The sequence below is a fragment of the Homo sapiens genome, chromosome 12, assembly GCF_000001405.40.
Source record: "Homo sapiens chromosome 12, GRCh38.p14 Primary Assembly".
In the NCBI taxonomy this organism is placed as follows: domain Eukaryota; kingdom Metazoa; phylum Chordata; class Mammalia; order Primates; family Hominidae; genus Homo; species Homo sapiens.
This window is the reverse complement of record NC_000012.12, coordinates 5,725,957-5,745,436: the sequence shown is the minus strand read 5'-3', so window position 1 is coordinate 5,745,436 and position 19,480 is coordinate 5,725,957. Positions and strand designations below refer to the sequence as shown.

The 19,480-nt window shown below is 44.3% G+C and overlaps 1 protein-coding gene across 3 annotated transcripts in view, besides 1 other annotated feature; it reads left to right on the top strand.

Annotated features, from left to right (window-relative positions):
* Positions 1-19,480, top strand: part of ANO2 (anoctamin 2) — a 383,578-nt gene that overhangs the window by 200,796 nt on the left and 163,302 nt on the right. For 2 of the 3 annotated variants that reach the window (NM_001278597.3, NM_001278596.3), the window contains exons 13-16: positions 1,120-1,280; positions 6,038-6,120; positions 12,560-12,571; positions 12,807-12,917. In NM_001278597.3, coding sequence (NP_001265526.1) covers positions 1,120-1,280; positions 6,038-6,120; positions 12,560-12,571; positions 12,807-12,917 — 367 coding nt within the window. The remainder of the gene's footprint in view (positions 1-1,119; positions 1,281-6,037; positions 6,121-12,559; positions 12,572-12,806; positions 12,918-19,480) is intronic. The other variant, NM_001364791.2, reaches the window with a different exon arrangement.
* Positions 5,327-5,527: a silencer, noted in NCBI's record as "peak1541 fragment used in MPRA reporter construct". NCBI's record gives its function as "represses an SCP1 promoter by STARR-seq MPRAs in K562 erythroleukemia cells {active_cell/tissue: K562}" and the evidence as "EXISTENCE:reporter gene assay evidence [ECO:0000049][PMID:32103011]".

Below are 19,480 nucleotides of genomic sequence, written 5' to 3'. Positions count from 1 at the left end.
TGGAAACAGCTGTGGTTCTCAGTGCTGGATCCCCTGCCTCCCCATCATTGTCTCCAGCTGCCCTGTAAGAACAGCCAGTGCTTTGCTTTCGTGAAATCTTAAGTTCTCCACCCTTTCCCCCTGAACCATGAGCTTAACCATCCTCCCATCTCCCTGGGAGAATATTACACAACAGAGGGATGAGTTCATTCATTTTTCCTATCAGTGTATGGTATAGAGGGTTATTGGGAAAGTCAGTCAGGGCTGATTCTTTGGTTCTTATTTCCAAGCATTCATATGAGCCTAAATCTGTTGGATACAGCTAGTCAGCTAACGAATGAATGGAATTTCAAATATATTCCTCAGTCCATTAAATGGAAATACACTAAGAATAGGTTGGAATACAGGCCATTAGAGATTATTTGGTTCATGCTCCAAGTATCAAAGAATCTAGATCTTGGAAGAATTTGCCTTGCTCTTTCATTCTCCCTAATCTTATTTCATGGTTATAATAATTCTTATTAGGTTGAGGTTATTAATCTCCATTCTACAAGTGGCTCTCCAGCTCATGCTCTTAGAAAAGGGCTTTCCACCCAGATCTACTCCGTTCTTCCCCATGTAGAACTTCTCCTTCTGGAGGTGAGAGCATGCACAGGTCTAGCCACACACTCGTGTTTGTTTCTACTTGGGACCAGTATCACCTGTTTGTGAGACAGCCAGTAGGCTTTACAAAAACAGCCTAGACTGAAGAATGGATGATGAAATCCAGCTTCAGGCTGTGATTTATTCACAACTGTGGATGCATCCCATTCCACCAACCTCATGGACCCCAGATGTTCTGAAGGGACTTTATGAGGCATCATTTAATGCTCAATGTCTCTGACAGATCTCACTAACTTTCCAGGGCACTTGTAGTGACAGGGAGCTCCATATCCCATCTTTTCATTGTTGTTTTTGAACAAAGTATGAGTAACACTCTCCAGGTGAAGAATACAATGCTAACTTCTTTAACATTCCTTACTTATGGAGTTGAAAAACTCAACCATAGATTTGGAAATGGGAGCTATTTGGGGGATGTATTTTTCTTGGAGTGGACCATGCTTGAGCTCCACCTGACCCAACAACCTCCATCTATTGCAGCAGAGAGATGTGTGACCAGCAGAATGCCTTCACCATGTGTCCCCTGTGTGACAAGTCCTGTGATTACTGGAACCTCAGCTCAGCCTGTGGGACCGCGCAGGCCAGCCACCTGTTTGACAACCCTGCCACCGTCTTCTTCTCTATCTTCATGGCTCTGTGGGGTATGTGGCCATCACCAGGCTTGCTTATATGGGTGGTTCCTTTACATGGGCACAGTGACCAAGCTGTAAAGCTCATCCCCTTCAGGTTACTTACTTTCGCATTTTTTCTTCCCATCACAAGAAGTATTTTAAGGATGACACTTTTCTTTTCTTTACTCATATGTGTGAATAGAAACAGGAATATCCTTCATGTCTTTATCTGTTTTCTCTCAGATGTAGTCATGCTAACCATGTACTAGCCCCATGTGTGATTTATTCAGAATTTGAACCAATGCCTGTTTTGAAAACTCCTAGCACACCTGTAAGACTCCTGCAGGTGCACTGACTTAGGTAAGATTGTAGATATCGTGCAGCACAATACTTAGAATGGTGGAGTGACTGCCGTGGTCACAGAGTTAGCTCATGGGAAAGGTGGGCTGAGATTTGGTCTCCTGACTCCTGTTCAGTGCGATTGTTAGGGCATCATGAGTGTAGACTGTACTGTCCCTGCACTGTTTAATTTAATATTTAATGCCAGGGTAATGCTTTCAGTATTCCCACCAAAGGGATTAGTGGAGGAAAAAATAATTCCTTCATTTTTCTCCTCCTCCCTTCCTCCCAGAGTATGGGGTAATAAACTTGTTCTGAGCCATAGGTAGCTGACTGTAAACACACACAGATACACACACACACACACACACACACGCCTATTCTCACAAACTGGAATAACGCGGGATAACCACCCCATGGTAACTGAGCATTTCTAAGAAGACACACCCATGAGTATTAGAAAAGGGACCAAGTCAACCTGTGTCAGCCCATCTGAGTAGCCACCTGCTCCTTTACTCATCACCGAATGTGCAGGCCCTTGGTTTGCACATTGGATCACAGACCAGCAGGACCACAGTCCTGCTGCAGAGGCTGTTTGATTTATCACTGACTCCATGGCGCCCAGAGGATATGCCAGGATGGGCCCTGAGTCACACGTCCCTGAGCGTATGAGGAGAAGGAGGAGAGGGAGAGGCCTGTTCTCGGTGGTTCTTAGGAGAACTAGAACACAACCTTCCTCCATTCCCTGTGGGGACCTTCACTTGGGTGGAGACAGAACTTGATTGGAAAGATTCCCATATTGCTAGGCCACCAATAAAAATTTCCAGGGCACACTCTATTCTCTATTATCAGGGAGAGCAGCTGCGTCCCGGGAGCACACGGGCAGTGTTCAGCCCATCGAGAGCTGGAGCAGGGAGCAGGAGGAAATGGAATTGTGACCATAGACTCCTGGGACTGTTCACAGGCAGGGTTGGTAGAACACACTGAAGTTGGGGCTTGTTGCCTGGGAAGTCACTGGCAGCTCTGTGTCTCCTTATCAAACAGGAGCATTGTGGAATTACCCCAAGATCCACCTGAACTGATTTGGAACCCAGAATACGTATTCATTTTTTGCTATATTACAACTCTAATGCCCATAATTTGTCTTGCAGATATTACCACCATTGAGTTGCTGAAGCCTAATAACTCCAGGTCTATAATCCTTCAAGAACTTTCTTGGGACACATAATCCCCTGTTGTAGAGAAACTTGGTTTTCAATTGTACTTCCTAGTTTCAAGTTTCAACAACTGCCTCTTCTCTTCCTTTGATAGCTGTAATGAACAGCTACCTCCCACCCCTTCCGAGATCCTCAGTCATTTCCTACCCTACCCCTGGACCCACTGTCTTCCTTTCACATCACAGTGCAGGGAAAGTACTCAGGGGTGAGATTGCGCCAGAGCTTCCTGGCATAGGGTAGGATTTGGTTTTGTTTTTTGACAGTCTTGCTGTGCTTTATGTGATTGTGTATTCAGTTACAGCAGCCAAGAGCCTTTAGGCCAGATTGTCTACAAATTACAATTAAAAATAATAGTAATGCCTCTCATTACCATGATTATTATGATTAGTGGTGCTGTGCTGGGTGGGCCTGGTTCAGGGCCCAGGTCTGCTGGGAATAAGGCTGGGAAGAAATGGCTGTACATAGAGAGAGACTTGGGCTGCTGGTGGCAGCGGAAGGGGCGGTGTGGAGTCAGGAGGTCTTGGGGGATACTAGTCAGCAGGACCCAAGTCTGTTGGCTCACCTGTAGGTCGGACTTCAAACTCCAGGGTATGTTGGGAAAGAGAGTGAAGTCCTACTGAAAAGGGAAGGAAAGAGACAGGGTTTCAGAACTCTTTTCCGAATAGAGGTTAAGGACACTGACCTAGGCAGACCTAATGTGTGTCTCAGTTCTGCTCCTTACCAGCTAGGGATCCCATGGCAGGTAAATGTGAACCTAACTCTGTGTCACTAAAGTCAATACTCTTGACCAAGGTGCCCTGTTACCTTGGGCAGATTACTTAATCTTTGAGCATCGTTGTCCTCATCTGTAAATTGAGCGAAATAATACCTACCCCACAGTGCTCTTGTGACATGTGATTGAGTGTGCATGCAGAGCATGTAGCATAGTGCCTGGCACAGATGAGCACCCAGAACTGGGAGCTGCTCTCCATCAGTATGGTGGTCCTCCCTTGCCCTCACGACTCATCTATCCATGACTCTTTTGCCCCTCTCATCATTCCTTCAGTCTGACTTCCTCCCTTCATGGAGACACCAGTCGGTCAGCACTCTGGGCACTGTTGTGTGCACAGCCCTCCTCGGGAACCAAGGAAGGAGCGGTAGGAAGAGGAGGGACTTACTACCATTCTTAGTATCCCCAGACCAAAGCCAGTGTTAGGAGGGAATACACCCACTCGAGAAAGGCCTCAAATCCAAGGGAGAAAAACATGCAAATCAGTGTATGCAAAATGTCATGTCAGATGAAAACATGCACATCAGTGCACCATAATGTAGCTGCAAGTAAAACAAATGCAGCTTTAAGTAACTGTGTATTCAACCAGTGCATAGGTGTTTGATATTCTCAGTTCTGTGCTGTGACCGAGGTAGACATAGGCAGCTAAGAGCCAGGAAAAGTTTACAGTCCTGTTATTACATCACAAACATGAAGTGTCGGCCAATAGTCAGGCATGGCATGTAGTGAAGTGTGCTCAGGCTCCTGCTAGAGGTGGGGTGGATCTGTAGGGATGGCCTCAGGGAATGTCATGTCCCTCCCTTTCCAGGGTGCCATGAACATAGGGCAGTAGGAGTGAGGAGGACAGGGTGCCATGGGGACTGATGTTATGGAAGAGGGGGACTTGAGCTGGGTCAGGATAGGATGAGGGTAGAAGCTGGAGGATAGCACAGGAGAGAGGGACAACGTGCGCAAGTCGAGTATGGAGATGACGGTGAGGGGATGACCCAGCTGTAATGTGGGCATGGGATATATGTTGTCAAATGGCAGGATGAGCGATTCAGATAGATAGTTCGGGCTCGACATACATAGTCCTGGAATCCAGAGAGAAGAACTTAGACTGTAAGGAGCCATTGAACATGTAGGCAGGTAGTGTTGGCACCCTTCCTCTGCCCACTCCTTCAATGCCCAAATGCCATTGTCCTTCAAAAATCAGCTCGGATGCCTCCTCTGGCAGGTAGCACTTCTCTTCGCAGGCCCACAGCTTTTTCATCTGTGTCATTCTTAAGGCCCTGATCACTTTATGTCTTGTATTGTAGTTGTTTACAATCCCTTCTCACAGATTGTAAACAACTTGAGAAGAAAAATCCACATGAAGTTCACCCAATCTCCCTGACAATGCCTAGAATGGTGTTTTGTACATTGCAGATACCTTAGTTGGGACTGGTGCTTTTGCAGGATTAGAAATTCACTCCAACTTACTCAAATAACAAGAGATTTATTTTAAGAAAGCAAGAGACAAGCTCCTGGGTGTAGGAAATGAAATATAACCAGGCCTCTTGGGAACTGGAGCTAGAGATGCTGTGGGAAACGAAGGCCTTCCCTCCTTTCAGGTGCTGCGTGGTCTCTCCCATCCCTGCTCCTCTTTGTGTCTTTTAGTTTCAGTTTTCAAAGGAGGGAATCTGAGTGCTCTATCAGCAGGCCCTGCATCAGATGTTCAGCCCTGGTATAACAAACCATGGCTGTAGGGTTGTGCTCGTGGGGGTATCAGGTTCTTCCTAGAGCATGCTGAGAAAGGCGTGCTGGTCCTTCAAAGGGCCGTGGGTGGGGCAGGCAAACTGATGGATGTGTAGGTGTGGCAGGCATTCTACAACTATTTGCTAAGCAAATGGAAGAATGAATGCATACTACTTTACAGAGATTATTCTATCAGCTACATGCAGGATGGGTTGGAAGGCTGAAAGTCTGGAGTCAGGTAGAACTGTTAGGAGACTGTTATGTAACCTCAGAATGAGATGATTAGGGCCCAAATGAGGCAAGTGGCGCTGGGGACAGAAAGAAAGAAATGTAGGGAAAAAGTGACAGTGCTGATGAAGGTGAAGGAGGAAAGAATGTATGCGTAGGCAAGATGAGGCTTGTCAAAAAATCCTGCAGACCCCTCCCTTTTTATTTTCTTCATCCCGCCATCCTTACTTTACTTCTCCAGATCAGTGTTTACCCTCCTCTCATAACTTAGAAGTGGAGAAAGGAGCGTGTGTGTGTGTGTGTGTGTGTGTGTGTGTGTGTAACATATCTATTGGCTCTCAAGGATGTGGAGTATTTCTAGCAGTTTCACCTAGAAGTGGGAAAAAGAGGCTAAATGCATTAAAGAGAGCTCCTAAATTTAAAATAGCTTATCCCCCACCTCCACTGGTGAGCCCAAAGGGTACAGAATCCACTCTTCAAAAATAATCAAGGTTTTTGTTCTTGTTGTTCTTTTTAAGCTACCATGTTCCTGGAAAACTGGAAGAGGCTACAGATGCGACTGGGCTACTTTTGGGACCTGACTGGCATAGAAGAGGAAGAAGTGAGTTCTCTCACGTATTTCTCACATACTTCTGTGGGCTTTTGCTTTGTTTTGACCCTGGAAATGGACTCTCTTGAGTGAGATAACCATGTATGTTTGCTGTCACTGGCTGGATCTCACAGTGGCTGCCTGTGTAGCTTGGCTCCATGGACTTGGGCCATGGTTGACCTACTCTGAGGCCAAGAGTTCAAGTACCCCCTCTTCCCTTGAGCTGGAGGGCATTGAGCCTGGTGTTTGGGCAGATGTCCCAGTGCCCTCCTCTGGGGAAAGAGGTGGCAGAAGATGCAAGAACAAGAGGCAAGACGTAATCTTGAGATCATAAAGCCAGAGAGTCAGGGATATGTCAGAATGCCCTGGGGGCCTCCTGAGGGCCAAAGGAGAGGCAGGGTGTCAGGTGCTGGTTGTCTTTGATGTCTGTGAATGAAGAAAGAAACACTAAACCTCTGTGGTATAAGCCAGTGCACTATGTGTGAAACTGAGGAGTTGGGGAGGCGTGAGCTAAGGGAAAGGATAGGTTCTTCTAGAGCAGTGTTCTGGACAGATGATCTTTAAATAATGCAAATAAATCAGCCTTCCCTTATAGCTCTTCTGAGGACTAGCCCCCCATTCCCGATGCTGGTGAGCCGATGATGGGCAGTGTGTCGTGCTTGCTCCCATGATCTATTCCCACCATAATTCCTGCTCCTCCAAAAGCAACCCCACTGTCACTCAGCCCTCCTCCCCTCTTCTTTCACTTCCAAGCTCAGCAAGCCCCTCTGTTCTGACCATTAAAACCTTCAAGGCCTCCTGACACCAGGTGCCACCATGGATGGGATGTCAAGCAGGGACTCTCAATAGTGTGGATATCGTGGGTGAGGGGCTGAGGGCCGTCTAGAAGGGCCAGGAGGCACTTTCAGTTGCCTGAGTCCACTTGCAAGGACTGGCCACAGCAGTAAGGTGGCTGCATGGAACACAAGCCTGCTCATTACTCTCCTACAGTGATTGCCTTGGACTAGGGACCTGGGGCCTTGTGGCCCTGACACTTTATGAGAAAGAAGTGGAATCCCTAATTTAGTCTCTTCCTAAGCCTGTATGTCCCCACATCTGTGGCATGTCACCATTTCTTCTCCTTAATGCTCTAAGTAGTCTACTTGCCTTTGAGCAGGTGGGCTGAAGAATGGCAGGACCCGCAGGGCAGCAGCTTGGAATGGAATCTACCAGTGCAGGGTGTGCTGCCTGAAAGTGCTGGAAGGAGAGATGTAATGATATAGCCTTTCTCCACCTCCCATGGGTTCTCACTTAATTGCATCCCCATCCCACTCCACCCCACTGCATTACCATATATTGGGTACACACTCTACTCTAGTCCTAGGTATTTCGCATATACCCTGAGGCTAATACTATCATGAACTCTGTGGTGAAAGAGAGAATATACATATGCATTCTGCCTTCAGAGAGGATTCAAATTATTTAGGAAGATAAGCAACAGAGAATAGTAAAGACAGTTGCATTTCTTGCGGGAAAATTCCCAAACTGGTCCTTCCAATAGAAAGAACTCTAGAAGTTTGAATGTGGGTGATCTAGTGGGGAAATGTTTGTATTATTTGTCCCATTTGATTTAGCTGAAATACGTCTCATATATATGAGAGAGACAGAGAGAGAGGAGGCTGGGGGAGGTGGGTAGGGTAGAGTGCCTACTCCGCTAATGCCGTAGAATGTTTCCAAAAAAGAGAAGAAGATGCATTTTGGCCTCCAAGCCTGTGTGGGGCCAGAGACAAGTTAAGTGTGTCTGCTAAGTAGAGTTGAGGAAGCCCTCACGTCTTGCTGTTAGAGAGCAAGTGTAAACATAGTCTCTCCATCAGAAAAGCCTCAGTTATAACTCAATACCCTTGAAATCTCTGTAACAAGTCCCTGGCAGGGGTGAGATTATAATCCATTTTTCTTTCTGTAGCCAGGTTTCCTGTTTATCTGTTTAACCCAATGAGCCATGGTAACTTCCTGGGAGGTACATGATTTGAGGAGCTCATGTGCTGGCTGAGAGGGGCCTGGCCAAGACTGGGTTTACCCAGGGCCTAAGGAGACTTTCCGGATGGGATCTCCGTGTGAGGTTGCTGCAAGGCTGGTTGGTTCTGTAACGTGACTGGCGTGCCCCACATGTGCACAGGCCAGCCTCAACTTTTCCTTTAATGCATTTCTAGTTTGGATTAGCACACATCAATTTCAGTTCAATTCTGAACATGGCCATTAAGCATCTATTACATACTAGGTTTTTGTATGGAATATGGAATTATCTCAGGTGTAGTGTCTGATCTCCAAAGGGCTGCATCCAGCAGGGTGCTCTTTGGTCTATAAATATTTAGAATAGAATGGAGAGTGTGTGAGAGAAATTGCTCTGGCTAATGTAGAGAGGAAATTCTTAAAAAATCAGGGTTTTGAAGACTGGTTGGCTTTTAATGGGCAGCAAAGGGAAGAAGGGGTGCCCACGAGAAAGAAACAGCAGCAGCCTTGACCTGGGAAAGCGAGGCAACAACAAGATATCTTGAAAGCCAAGTTGGCTTCAGGGGACAGGGCTCAGTATGCAGTGGTGACAAGGAAAAAGTATAGTCTGGTGACCGGGTCAGGGAGGGTCCTGATTGCTAATCTGTATCTCCCAGGCCATGGGAAGGCATGAAGATCAGGATAACAAGGTACGAATGACTTGAACAAGGGTCCTAGGACTTATATGAAGCATTTAACCCACATTCAAAACGAGGAGTGAGTGGAAGGCAGATGTTACTTGGGCACTGGAGGGAGGGAGGCAGGGGTCCTTGAAAGCCATGATTAGAAGTTTTTTCTATTTTAACCAGACACCTCCCAGTATCAGGAATGCTTGCGAGTCTAGCTTTCTATAACCTTAAGACTTCTTTCTTCCCCATGGTATCCACTAGGAAACACTTGCTTCCCAGGGGAAAGGAGGGTGCCAACTGACATACACCAAAGCTTGTGCACCCTCTAGTCCTCCCACCTGGGTGCCTTCAGCAGGTGGGTCACCCCAGGAGGGGTAGAACAAGCAGTAGGGCTTAAGTCCGGCTTGGAAACCAGAGACAAGCCAGAAGAAGACTGGAGACTGCTTTCTTCTGAGGGTGGGGAAGGAAGGAAGCAACCAAGCCCAACGGCCCACCCCCCTGGGCCAGTGCAGGTCTGCCTGTGGGTGTCCCTGTGGACATCATCATGGGACTTATTGAAGGACTCCTCTGATCCTGTTTGTCCTTTTTGCAGGGAGATCTGTCAGACCTCCAGAGTTTTATACTCTAAAATGGGATAATCTTCAGCTCAGTGGGCCACTCTTGCCCATTACCTTCTGTCACATCAGGAATACCCTGGGCCTCTTAGAGAGTGTGGCCTTATCTGAACACAGATATCCTGCCCACCCATCTCTCTCCCACCCCTCGTGTATAACATCAAAGCTTAGATATCCTCAGTGACTTCTTTCTGGTTTCACAGGAAACCAAATCCTCTGCCTACCTTTCTAACCTCAGCTTGTGTCATTCTCCTCCTTGCTTAGACCTTCCAGCTACCCAGGCCTTCATTCTGTCTCGAGCTCATTCCAGCCTTTGCCCTGGTTATTCCTGTTGCACAGACTGCTTTTCCCCCAGACTCTGCAAGGCCTGTCTTCTCGGCTTTTGTGTCTCAGTGAAAACATTGCCGTCTTCAGATTGGCCTCCCCCAACTCCCCAATCTGAAGCAGCCATTCTGCTTTATTTCTTCTGCTATTCTTATCCTCATCTGCTAGTTTCTCATTCGTGTGCTGGTTTACTCACTGTACCTTTTCTCTACTTGGAGAAAAGTTCCAGGGAAGGAGGGATCTTGTGTCTAGGACTGGCAGTATAGCCTCAGTGCCTGGAAAGAGCTCAGAGTATAGCAGGTGCTTGATGACTCCTGGTTGAAGACATTTGTTGGATGTATCTCTGGACTTACCTCTTTACATCAGACAAATGTGGTCCTGAGCAGGCTTGGGTTCTTCCTCCCAGCTGGCTCCTGGGGAGACTGACCACGTGGAAACAGTTCCCAGAGTCTCGATGGGAGGGGTGATGATCTGTGATGACTTGGTATCAGATAACCCATCCAGTGCTGTTGTGTTTGGGGAACATCAGGAGTATCAGGCTGATCTGCCCGTGGCTGGGTGTGTCAAAGCAGCCCTCCCGGGGGCTGGATTCTGCTCTGGCCAGGAGCTCAGTTGTCCAATTTGAGGGATTCCATAACCTCACCCCACTTGCTTGGCTGCAAAGAGGGAGGTCCTTGTCAGGCCTGCTTCAGCTGAGTGCAGCGCAGCCTGTCTCTTCTTTGAGTTTCGGATTCTTGTCTGAGTGCTTAGGAAGCTAGGCTTGCTTTAAAAAGTTAAGGGTTATGGCCGGGTGCAGTGGTTCACGCCTGTAATCCCAGCACTTTGGGAGGCCGAGGCGGGTGGATCACCTGAGGTTAGGAGTTCAAGACCAGCTTGGTCAACATGGTGAAACCCCATCTCTACTAAAAGTACAAAAAAATCAGCTGGGCCTGGTGGCATGTGCCTGCAGTCCCAGCTACTCCGGAGGCTGAGGCAGGAGAATTGCTTGAGCCTGGAAGGCAGAGGTTTCGGTGAGCCGAGATCATGCCACAGCACTCCAGCCTGGGCGACAGAGTGAGACTCTGTCTCAAAAAAAAAAAAAAGAAAGAAAAAAAAGATGAGGGAGCTTTGAACTGGGGCCCAGCATGGGGGGAGGTGAGCCACAGCCACACCTAGAGGGATTCAAGCAAACTCCTCTGTGTGCTGCCACATCATGTCCTGGAAAGCCAGAGATAATCAGAAACATCCTGTCGGTCAGCTGAGGGTGCCTCCCTTAGCCCCTGTGCAGGGTCTGGAAGGGGAGAGGCTCCTCTGGCTTGAAGAGATGTAGAACCCATGTTCTGGAACTCACTGAAAGATACTGCTAAGTTTTTAATTAAAATCTCCCATTGGAATAATGTAGAAGAAAAGCAACCAAATTTCAGAGGCCATGGGGGAGAACCTCAAACCATACTTCTCTAAGTATTCCTGCAGGTTATTAATTGTTACAGGCAAAAGTTGCTCTGCGGGAAATGATGTGCTTAGGAAAATTAAGCAAGCTTCTTGACAGTAGTACTTTTCAGAGTTTTGAATGTGCTCACTGTGACTCTCAGAAAGTCGATACGTTCTAGTGTTTTCCAGTCTTTTAGACCTTGGAATCCTTTTTTAGCTGAAATTCTCTTGGCACACACATTAGGAAATGCTGTGTTGGAGAACGGATGAAGGTGAGAGACAAAATCAAGTGCACTTTACAAGCGTTCAGAGATTTCTGTGTGTTCTGCATGGTGCCAAGTACTGTGCAAAACATAGAATAATACAGAGCAGGTAGCTGATCTTTATGTTAGGATAAGAAGACTCTCACATGCAAAACAGCGAGGAAAAAATAAAAGAAAAATATGTAATGAAGATCTACAGTGTGTGGTATAAGCTATAAAAGTTTCGGAATTCAGAGAGGGAGGAGACCCCACCTGGTAGGTATGTTGCAACAGTTGGAGAAGTCCTCCTGGAAGGGGTGGGACTGACGTCCCCTCGGAGAATGGGTGAGGATAGAATGGCACCGCCTGCAGTTGTTTTAGTTATGCTTGTTAGTCACTTACATGGTCTGTCCTCTCCTGCATCATGGCGTGTCTTGGGAAAGCCAGAGACAGGTCAAAAGCCTGGCCCGTTGACCTTTGGAATCTCTGACATATGGACAGGGATAAGGACATGTGTGTTCCCTGAATGGCAGAGCCCATTGTGAGCCAGTACCTGAATCCCTGCCCAGGAGTTATCGATAAACGATGCAGGAACATGAAGTCCTCACACCTGTAGATGTTTGTTCTTGAGCTGGAAACCGTAAGGAAGACCTGCCAATGAGGCCAGGTGTACACAGTTAAATTTTCTTTGAAGTGAGTTATGCATTTTCCTACCCCGGCATCTGCACTGATTTGACCATGGTCCTCTGGATTAGTTAGGTGCTCTTTCCCATGCCTGGTGACTCACAACTCAGGTTTGTGTTGCTGAATGGCCCAGTGAGGTCTCTTGAGCATTGCTGTTACTTGCCAATGAGTTACTCACCGAGGCTGCACAGGAAACAGGTCCAGGCAAGTGAGTTTTAAGATTCCCTATGGCCACCCTTGACTTTGATGTTTATTGGTCGCCATTTTAGCTCAGAGAATAATGGAGCAGGGAAGGAGTTTTGTTGTTGCCCTCACTCCCAGCTGTGGGGCACATCTGTTTCTCCAGCTGGGAGTTGGCTTGTTGAAAGTTAAAGTTTGAGGTCTGACGATAGTTGGTGGGATGACCAGGGATATCCCTCTGCCTCTGGTGAAACTGCTCTGCAAAGCACTGGGCCCCTCTTCGTATCAGCCATCCAGTTAACATTTCCTCTCTTTTTCTCAACACCGGCGCTATCCCCAGGAACGTGCCCAGGTTTGGTTTTCAGTGTGATAACGAGTGTTGTGTGTCCCTTGTCTCTTCCTCACGTTGTGTTCTTATGTTAGGATGTGATGTCTAGATGCCTTGTGATTGTGTGTGGTGGGGCAGTTCATATCCAATAGCATCCAATCCTAAACGCTGACGTTAATGTACATGTGTCTGGTTATAACCCTAAGGCCAAGGTCATTCTTCCTTTTGTTTACTAACCACTCACTGCTCTTTGGTTTAGGAACATTCCAGGCCTGAGTATGAAACCAAAGTTCGAGAGAAAATGCTAAAGGAGAGCAACCAGTCTGCTGTCCAGAAATTGGAAACAAACACGACGGAGTGTGGCGATGAGGTATGAAGCTGGACTTGCTGCTCACGGTCCTCTTTACTTGTTGAGATCCTGTTGTCATTTTGTTTGGCACGCCTTAGTGAAGGGAGACTGGGCTTGAGAAGGGGTTGATGTGGGGCAGGATGAGATGAGAGCATGACATCTCGCATTGTCCTGCAGCCAGAGATCATGGGCAATGGGCTTTCTCTATGACTTGACCTCTCTTTCCAGATAGCGGTGCTATCTGGTCAAAATGGGAGGGCAGGTTAGAGGAGAAACAGTTTCAGGCCTGATTCCTACCATCATCTAAATATTGAATAATAATAACATTCAATACCCCACCAGACCAACCACCACCACGGCTAATCCTTATCGAACGCTTGCTCTATGTTAGACACTGTTCTAAGTGTATTACATTATCTCACAATAAGTCTGTGAGGCTGGTACTATTGCTATGTAAATGAAGGCTCATGAAAAAAGTTATGTCCACAGATTAAGTCATTTGCCAGAGGTCACACAGCCAGTAAATGGTAGGTGGATCTGGGATTCCACTGCAGGTCTATTAGTCTGTGCCTCTAACCGCTATGCCATACAGCCTTCAACTGCAATGGGAAAATCAAAGGATAGAACAAGAAATGGCTCTTAGGGCCTGCAGTGGCAAATACATGCCTGTATTTGCTCAAGCTACTTGTGCAATGTTCCTTACATTTCATTTTATCTTGGTGGACCTCCAAACGTGGAAACATGATGGTGACCATGTCCTCTGAGTCATGTCTCTCAGTTTCATGGTGGCATGCAGTCATTAAAACAGAGCTTCAGAATTTGTGCTGTGGTTCGTAAAAAAACTCAGAGTATGTATGTTGGGGGGACATGGGGATGCTCTTTGGGATACCTGTCTCTGTGTGCCACCTGTCTTTGAAAGCGAGGAGGGGTGGGGAGAGAGAGAGAGAGAGGAGAGTTTATGTCTTTCTTAATCTGGTTCTTGAAAAAAAATTCCACTAGATTGAAAATCTGTTGCTTTTAGATGTGTCTTTTCTCCATCTTGGATTTGAATTCAAATTTCATTTCATTTCACATTCTTTAAGTTGGAACCATTCATGTTAACATGCAAATTTATGCAAGCATCAAAACAGAAGAATGTGGTGTTTTCGAGCCCAAAATGCTGGCATTTTTTTTTTTTTAAGAAAACAGAACTTAAACAGAACAGAGAGGGTGGCCCTCTGAGTTATTTTTTTTCCTAGACGAAGACCAAGTCCAAGACCACCAATTATTCAGGGAAATAATGAATTCATTCTTAGGAAAGACTAATCATCACCGCCACCCTCATCAGAAAGCAAGCATTCTGTGTTCTGTCAGCTTCGGCAACGCCGTGCAAACTTCTTTCTCCACCCCATAGCAATATACAATGGATAATTTTATGGAAATCACATGTAACTTTTATTGACCACTGACTCATTGAATTTTAATTCCATAGACGGGAATGCCAAGGAACCGGAATTGTGTACACTGAGGCTGTGGTTCTAATATAAACATTGCTTGGGTATATATGCATGATTGGTCAAATAACTTTCAGGAACCATGAATAATTAAAAAACATCTGAATGCATTATGAATGATACATATGTTTATGTTTTAGCATTCAACATCTATTTTCATTACACTGTTGAGAATGCAAAGCTCAAAGCATCTAATGCCTTATGGGCACTGGGGGGAAATGACCTTCTCAAATGAGTAGTGTAAGATAAAAATGGTCTAGAATTTGATTGTCAGGATCCTTCTTGTGTTTCCTCAGTTTCTTTAACATTGTTAATGCTTCTGTTCTTGCCAAATCCAGCCATAGGTGGGAGATAAAGGTGGATGCTGCTCTTGTCTGCAGGAAGAGTTGTAGTCAATACCCACCGCATAGCATTGCTGCAGGGGCATCATTGCATGTGGAATGTTTAGGAAAGGCACCTGCTTCTGAGGAATAGACAGGGACTAAAGAATCAAATTCTAGCTGGTGGTCTTGGATGTGCTTGTCTCACCCCAGAAGATCACCTTGGTTCTGCCTTCACTGTAATCCTGATGCTGCATATCCTCACCTCTCCTTACTTTCCTTCCTGTTGAATGGTAAAAAGCTACCATTTACTGAGGCCCAGAGTGGTGCGCGAATTTGCTTAAGACCACGTAGCTGGTTGTGGGGAAGCTGGTAATCAAACCCAGCTCTGCCTGATCCCCAAGGCCTGTTTGCTTTTCTTTTTCCTTTTTAATTTTAAAGATACCAAGTCCGTTTACTTTTTAAACATGTTTATTGAGATTTAATTTTATACACTAAAATTCACCCATTTAAAGTGCACAATTCAATATGCATATTTTTATATATGCACAATTCAATATGCATATTTTTATATATGCACAATTCAATATGCATATTTTTATATATGCACAATTCAATATGCATATATATGAATAATTTTTAGCTTATTCACAGATGTGTGCAATTATCTACACAATTTATATTTAAAACATTTTTATTATCCGAAAAAGAAACCCTGTACCCAATAGTTGCCAAGCCGTGGGTAACAACTAATCTACTTTCTGTCTCTATAGATTTGCCTATTCTGGACTTTCACGTAAATGGTATTATAGAATATGCGGTCCTTAGCTTCTTTCACTTCGCAACATTTTTTTAGGATTCATTCATATTGTAGCATATATCAGTACTTCGTTCTTTTATATTGCCAAATAATATTCTATATTGTGGATCTGCTTCATTTTATTTATCGATGCAGTTGATGGTCATTTGGGTGGTCTCTACTTTTGGGCTATTAGGAATAATGCTGCAATGGACATTTGGGTACAAGTTTTTTTTTTTTGCCGTATGCTTTCATTTTTCTTGGGTATATACGTAGGAGTAGAATTGCTGGGTCATATGGTAACTCTATGTTTAACATTTTAAAGAACTGCCATGCTATTTTTCCAAAGTGGCTATATTGTTTTACATTCCAACCAGCTATTTAGGAGGTTTCCAGCATCTCCACATCCTCACCAACACTTAGTATCTGTTTTTTACATTTTATCCATCCCAGTGGTGTGAAGTGATATTTCATTGTAGTTTTAACTTGCATTTCCCTAATGATTAATGATGTGAACTTCATTAGTGGTCATTAATGGTCATTTGCATGTCTTCTTTGGAAAAATATCTATTCAAATCCTTTGCCTCTTAAAAATATTGGGTTAATTGGCTTTTGGTTATCAGGTTGTAAGAGTTGTTTTTATATTTGGAATATATGAAGTTCTTTATATATTTGGGATATAAGAAATTCTTTATATATTTGGATTACCAGTCTTATCAAATAATATGATGTAGAAATAGTTTCTTTAATTCTGTAGATTGTCTTTTCACTTTATTGAAATTTTGAATTTTGAAATAGTTCAATTTATCTAATTTTGTTACTTATGCTTTTGTGTTATATCTAAGAAACCATTGCCTAATCCAATGTCATTAAGATATTTCTAATTTTTCTTCTAAGAATTTTATAGTTTTAACACTTGCAGTTAGGCCTATGATCCATTTTGAGTTAATTTTTGTGTATGATTTAAGGAGGGTATTCAAATGTATTTTTCTGCATGTAGATATTCAGTTGTCCCAGCAACATTTGTTGAACAGACTGTTTCCTCACTGAATTATCTTGACACCCTTATCAAAAGTCAATTGACCATAAATGTAAGAGTTTATTTCTGGACATCAATTAGATTCCATTGATCTATATGTCTGTTCTTATGTAGTACCACCCTATCTTGACTGCTGTGCCTATATAGTAAGTTTTGAAATTGGGGGTATGAGTCCTCTGACTTTGTACTTTTTTTTCAAAATTGTTTTGACCATTCTGGGTGTTTTGCATTTCCATATGAACTTCATGACTAACTTGTCAATGTCTATAAGAAAGCAAGCTGGGATTTTGCTAGGGATTGAGTTGAATCTATAGACTAATTTTGGAAGAATTGCCATCTTAGCAATAGTAAGTCTTCTATGAATGTGGTATATCTTTCTATTTACGTAGACCTTTTATTTTTTCAACAATGTTTTATAGTTTTCAGTGTACAAGTCTTGTACATATTTTGTTAAATTTATTGATAATTATTTTATTTTTTTGATGCTATTGAAAATATAGTTTTCTTGATTTTATTTTTGGACTGTTCACTGCCAGTATATAGAAATATAATTGATTTTTCTATATTGATCTGGTATCCCATAACTTTTCTGAACTCATTTATTAGTTCTAATAATTTTTAATGGATTCCTTAGGATTTTCTATTTGTGAGATCATGTTATCTGTGAATAGTGATAGTTTTACTTCTTTTTTCCAATCTGGATATATTTTATCCCTGCTTGCTCCACCCATTTCCTAATTGCCCTGATTGGAATCTCCTGTACAATGCTGAATAGAAGTGGTGAGGCCGGGTGCGGTGGCTCACGCCTGTAATCCCAGCACCTTGAGAGGCCGAGGTGGGCGGATCATGAGGTCAAGAGATGGAGACCATCCTGGCTAACATGGTGAAACCCCATCTCTACTAAAAATACAAAAAATTAGCTGGGCGTGGTGGCGGGCGCCTGTAGTCCCAGCTGTTTGGGAGGCTGAGGCAGGAGAATGGCGTGAACCCGGGAGGCAGAGCTTGCAGTGAGCCGAGATTGCACGACTGCACTCCAGCCTGGGGGACAGAGCAAGACTCTGTCTCGAAAAAAAAAAAAGAAAAAAGTAGCCGGGCGTGGTGGCAAGCACCTGTAGTCCCAGCTACTGGGGAGGCTGAGGCAGGAGAATGACATGAACCTGGGAGGCAGAGCTGGCAGTGAGCCGAGACTGCGCCACTGCACTCCAGCCTGGGTGGCAGAGTGAGACTCCGTCTCAAAAAAAAAAAAAAAAAAAAGGAAGTGGTGAGAATGGACTTCCTTGCTTTGTTTTTGACCATAGGAGAAAAAAATTTAGTTTTTCACCATTAAGTCACTGTAAGTCTCATGTTAGCTGTAGGCCATTGCTTTTTTTTTTTTTTGGTTTGTTTAAAACTCTCTCTATAAGGTTTCCCTCTAAGGCCATTCTTGCATTGCTATAAATACCCGAGACTGAGTAATTTATTAAAAAAGAGAGGTTTAATTGGCTCATGGTTCTGTAGGGTTTAGAAAAGGCATGGTGCTGGTATCTTCTTGACTTCTAAGGAGGCCTCAGGAAGTTTATAATCATTGTGGAAGGCGAAGGGGGAGCAGGCACGTCACATACTGAAAGCAGGAGAGAGAAAAAGGAGTGAGTTATAGGGGAGGTGGTGCCACACACTTTTAAATGACCAGATCTCACAGGAACTCACTCACTTTTGCAAAGACAGCACCAAGCCATGAGGGATCCACCCCCATGATCCAAACACCTCCCGCCAGTCTCCACCTCCAGCACCGAGGATTACAATTCAACATGAGATTTGGGTGGGAACAAATATCCAAACTGTATCAGCTTCCCTGAAAACAATTCACATCTCATGTACATGACACTGATCTGTAATGAAATGCTCTGTACTGTAATGAGGTGATAACCATATATAAGGACCCCGGGGTAGGAGTTATGGTACCATTACCAGGCAGCTGAGCCTTCTGGGTCTCTTCCACCTCAGCTGTCATGCAGGTAGATTAGATTACACAGCCTCTCCAGTTCTGAGAGTCAGTCTTTGCTGATGTGCAGAGATGATGTTGGTCATCAACCCATTGGTTTGGGGGATTGGACTGTCTCTTATTTATTTATATGGTAGTAACTTAGCTCTTATACCTTCTCTTATTGATTTTCAAGGATGTGGGCATAGGAGGATGTTAATAATGATAAAATTATAAGTAACATTTATGGAGTGCTTATTGTATGTAATGTGCAAAGCTTTACAGGTATTATTTCCTTTATTATTTCCATTATGATCCCCAACTCACAGATGAGAAGACTGAGGTCTATAGGGGAACATAAGTTGATCAATGATAATACATGGCAGAGCCAGAGTCGAAGCCAGGCAGTCTGACTCAAAAGCAATGCTTTTAACCTCTTGCTCCTGTGTCTGCTGAAAGTTTTCCTTCAATAGATCCTCAAACACTCCTAAAAAGTCATGTTTGATTCTTCTTTCCTAAACTAAAGGCAGAAAGGACTGTGGTATTCACTGGAAAGATGGGTGAGAGACAAATTCGCTACCCCACATTAGTGGTTTTGTGTAAATTTTAGTGGGGTGATGTTCTATTTCCACTGAGGACAACAGTGGGGAGAATTAGCTCAGTTTACTGCTAGAGTTCAACAGACAGTAGGGAAAATTCAGGAATATAAATATAGGTATAGATTGTGTTTTCAAGAAAGAATACTGAGTCCGGAACTTTTAATAAAAGAATAGCGTGGATTTTTTTTTTTTTTCCTAAATCAGTTTGAATCTTTTCTAGACTGCTGTATCCCGGACACGTTTGGAGGTTTTCTTAAGTTTCCCTGCAGGTCACCAATTCTCTCTGTTCCTACAAGATGGTAAAGCTCTAAGTTGAGTGCAGATGGCAAGGTGCTGGAGCTGGCAGGTTGAGGAGCAGTGCTGTTCTTTGCCTC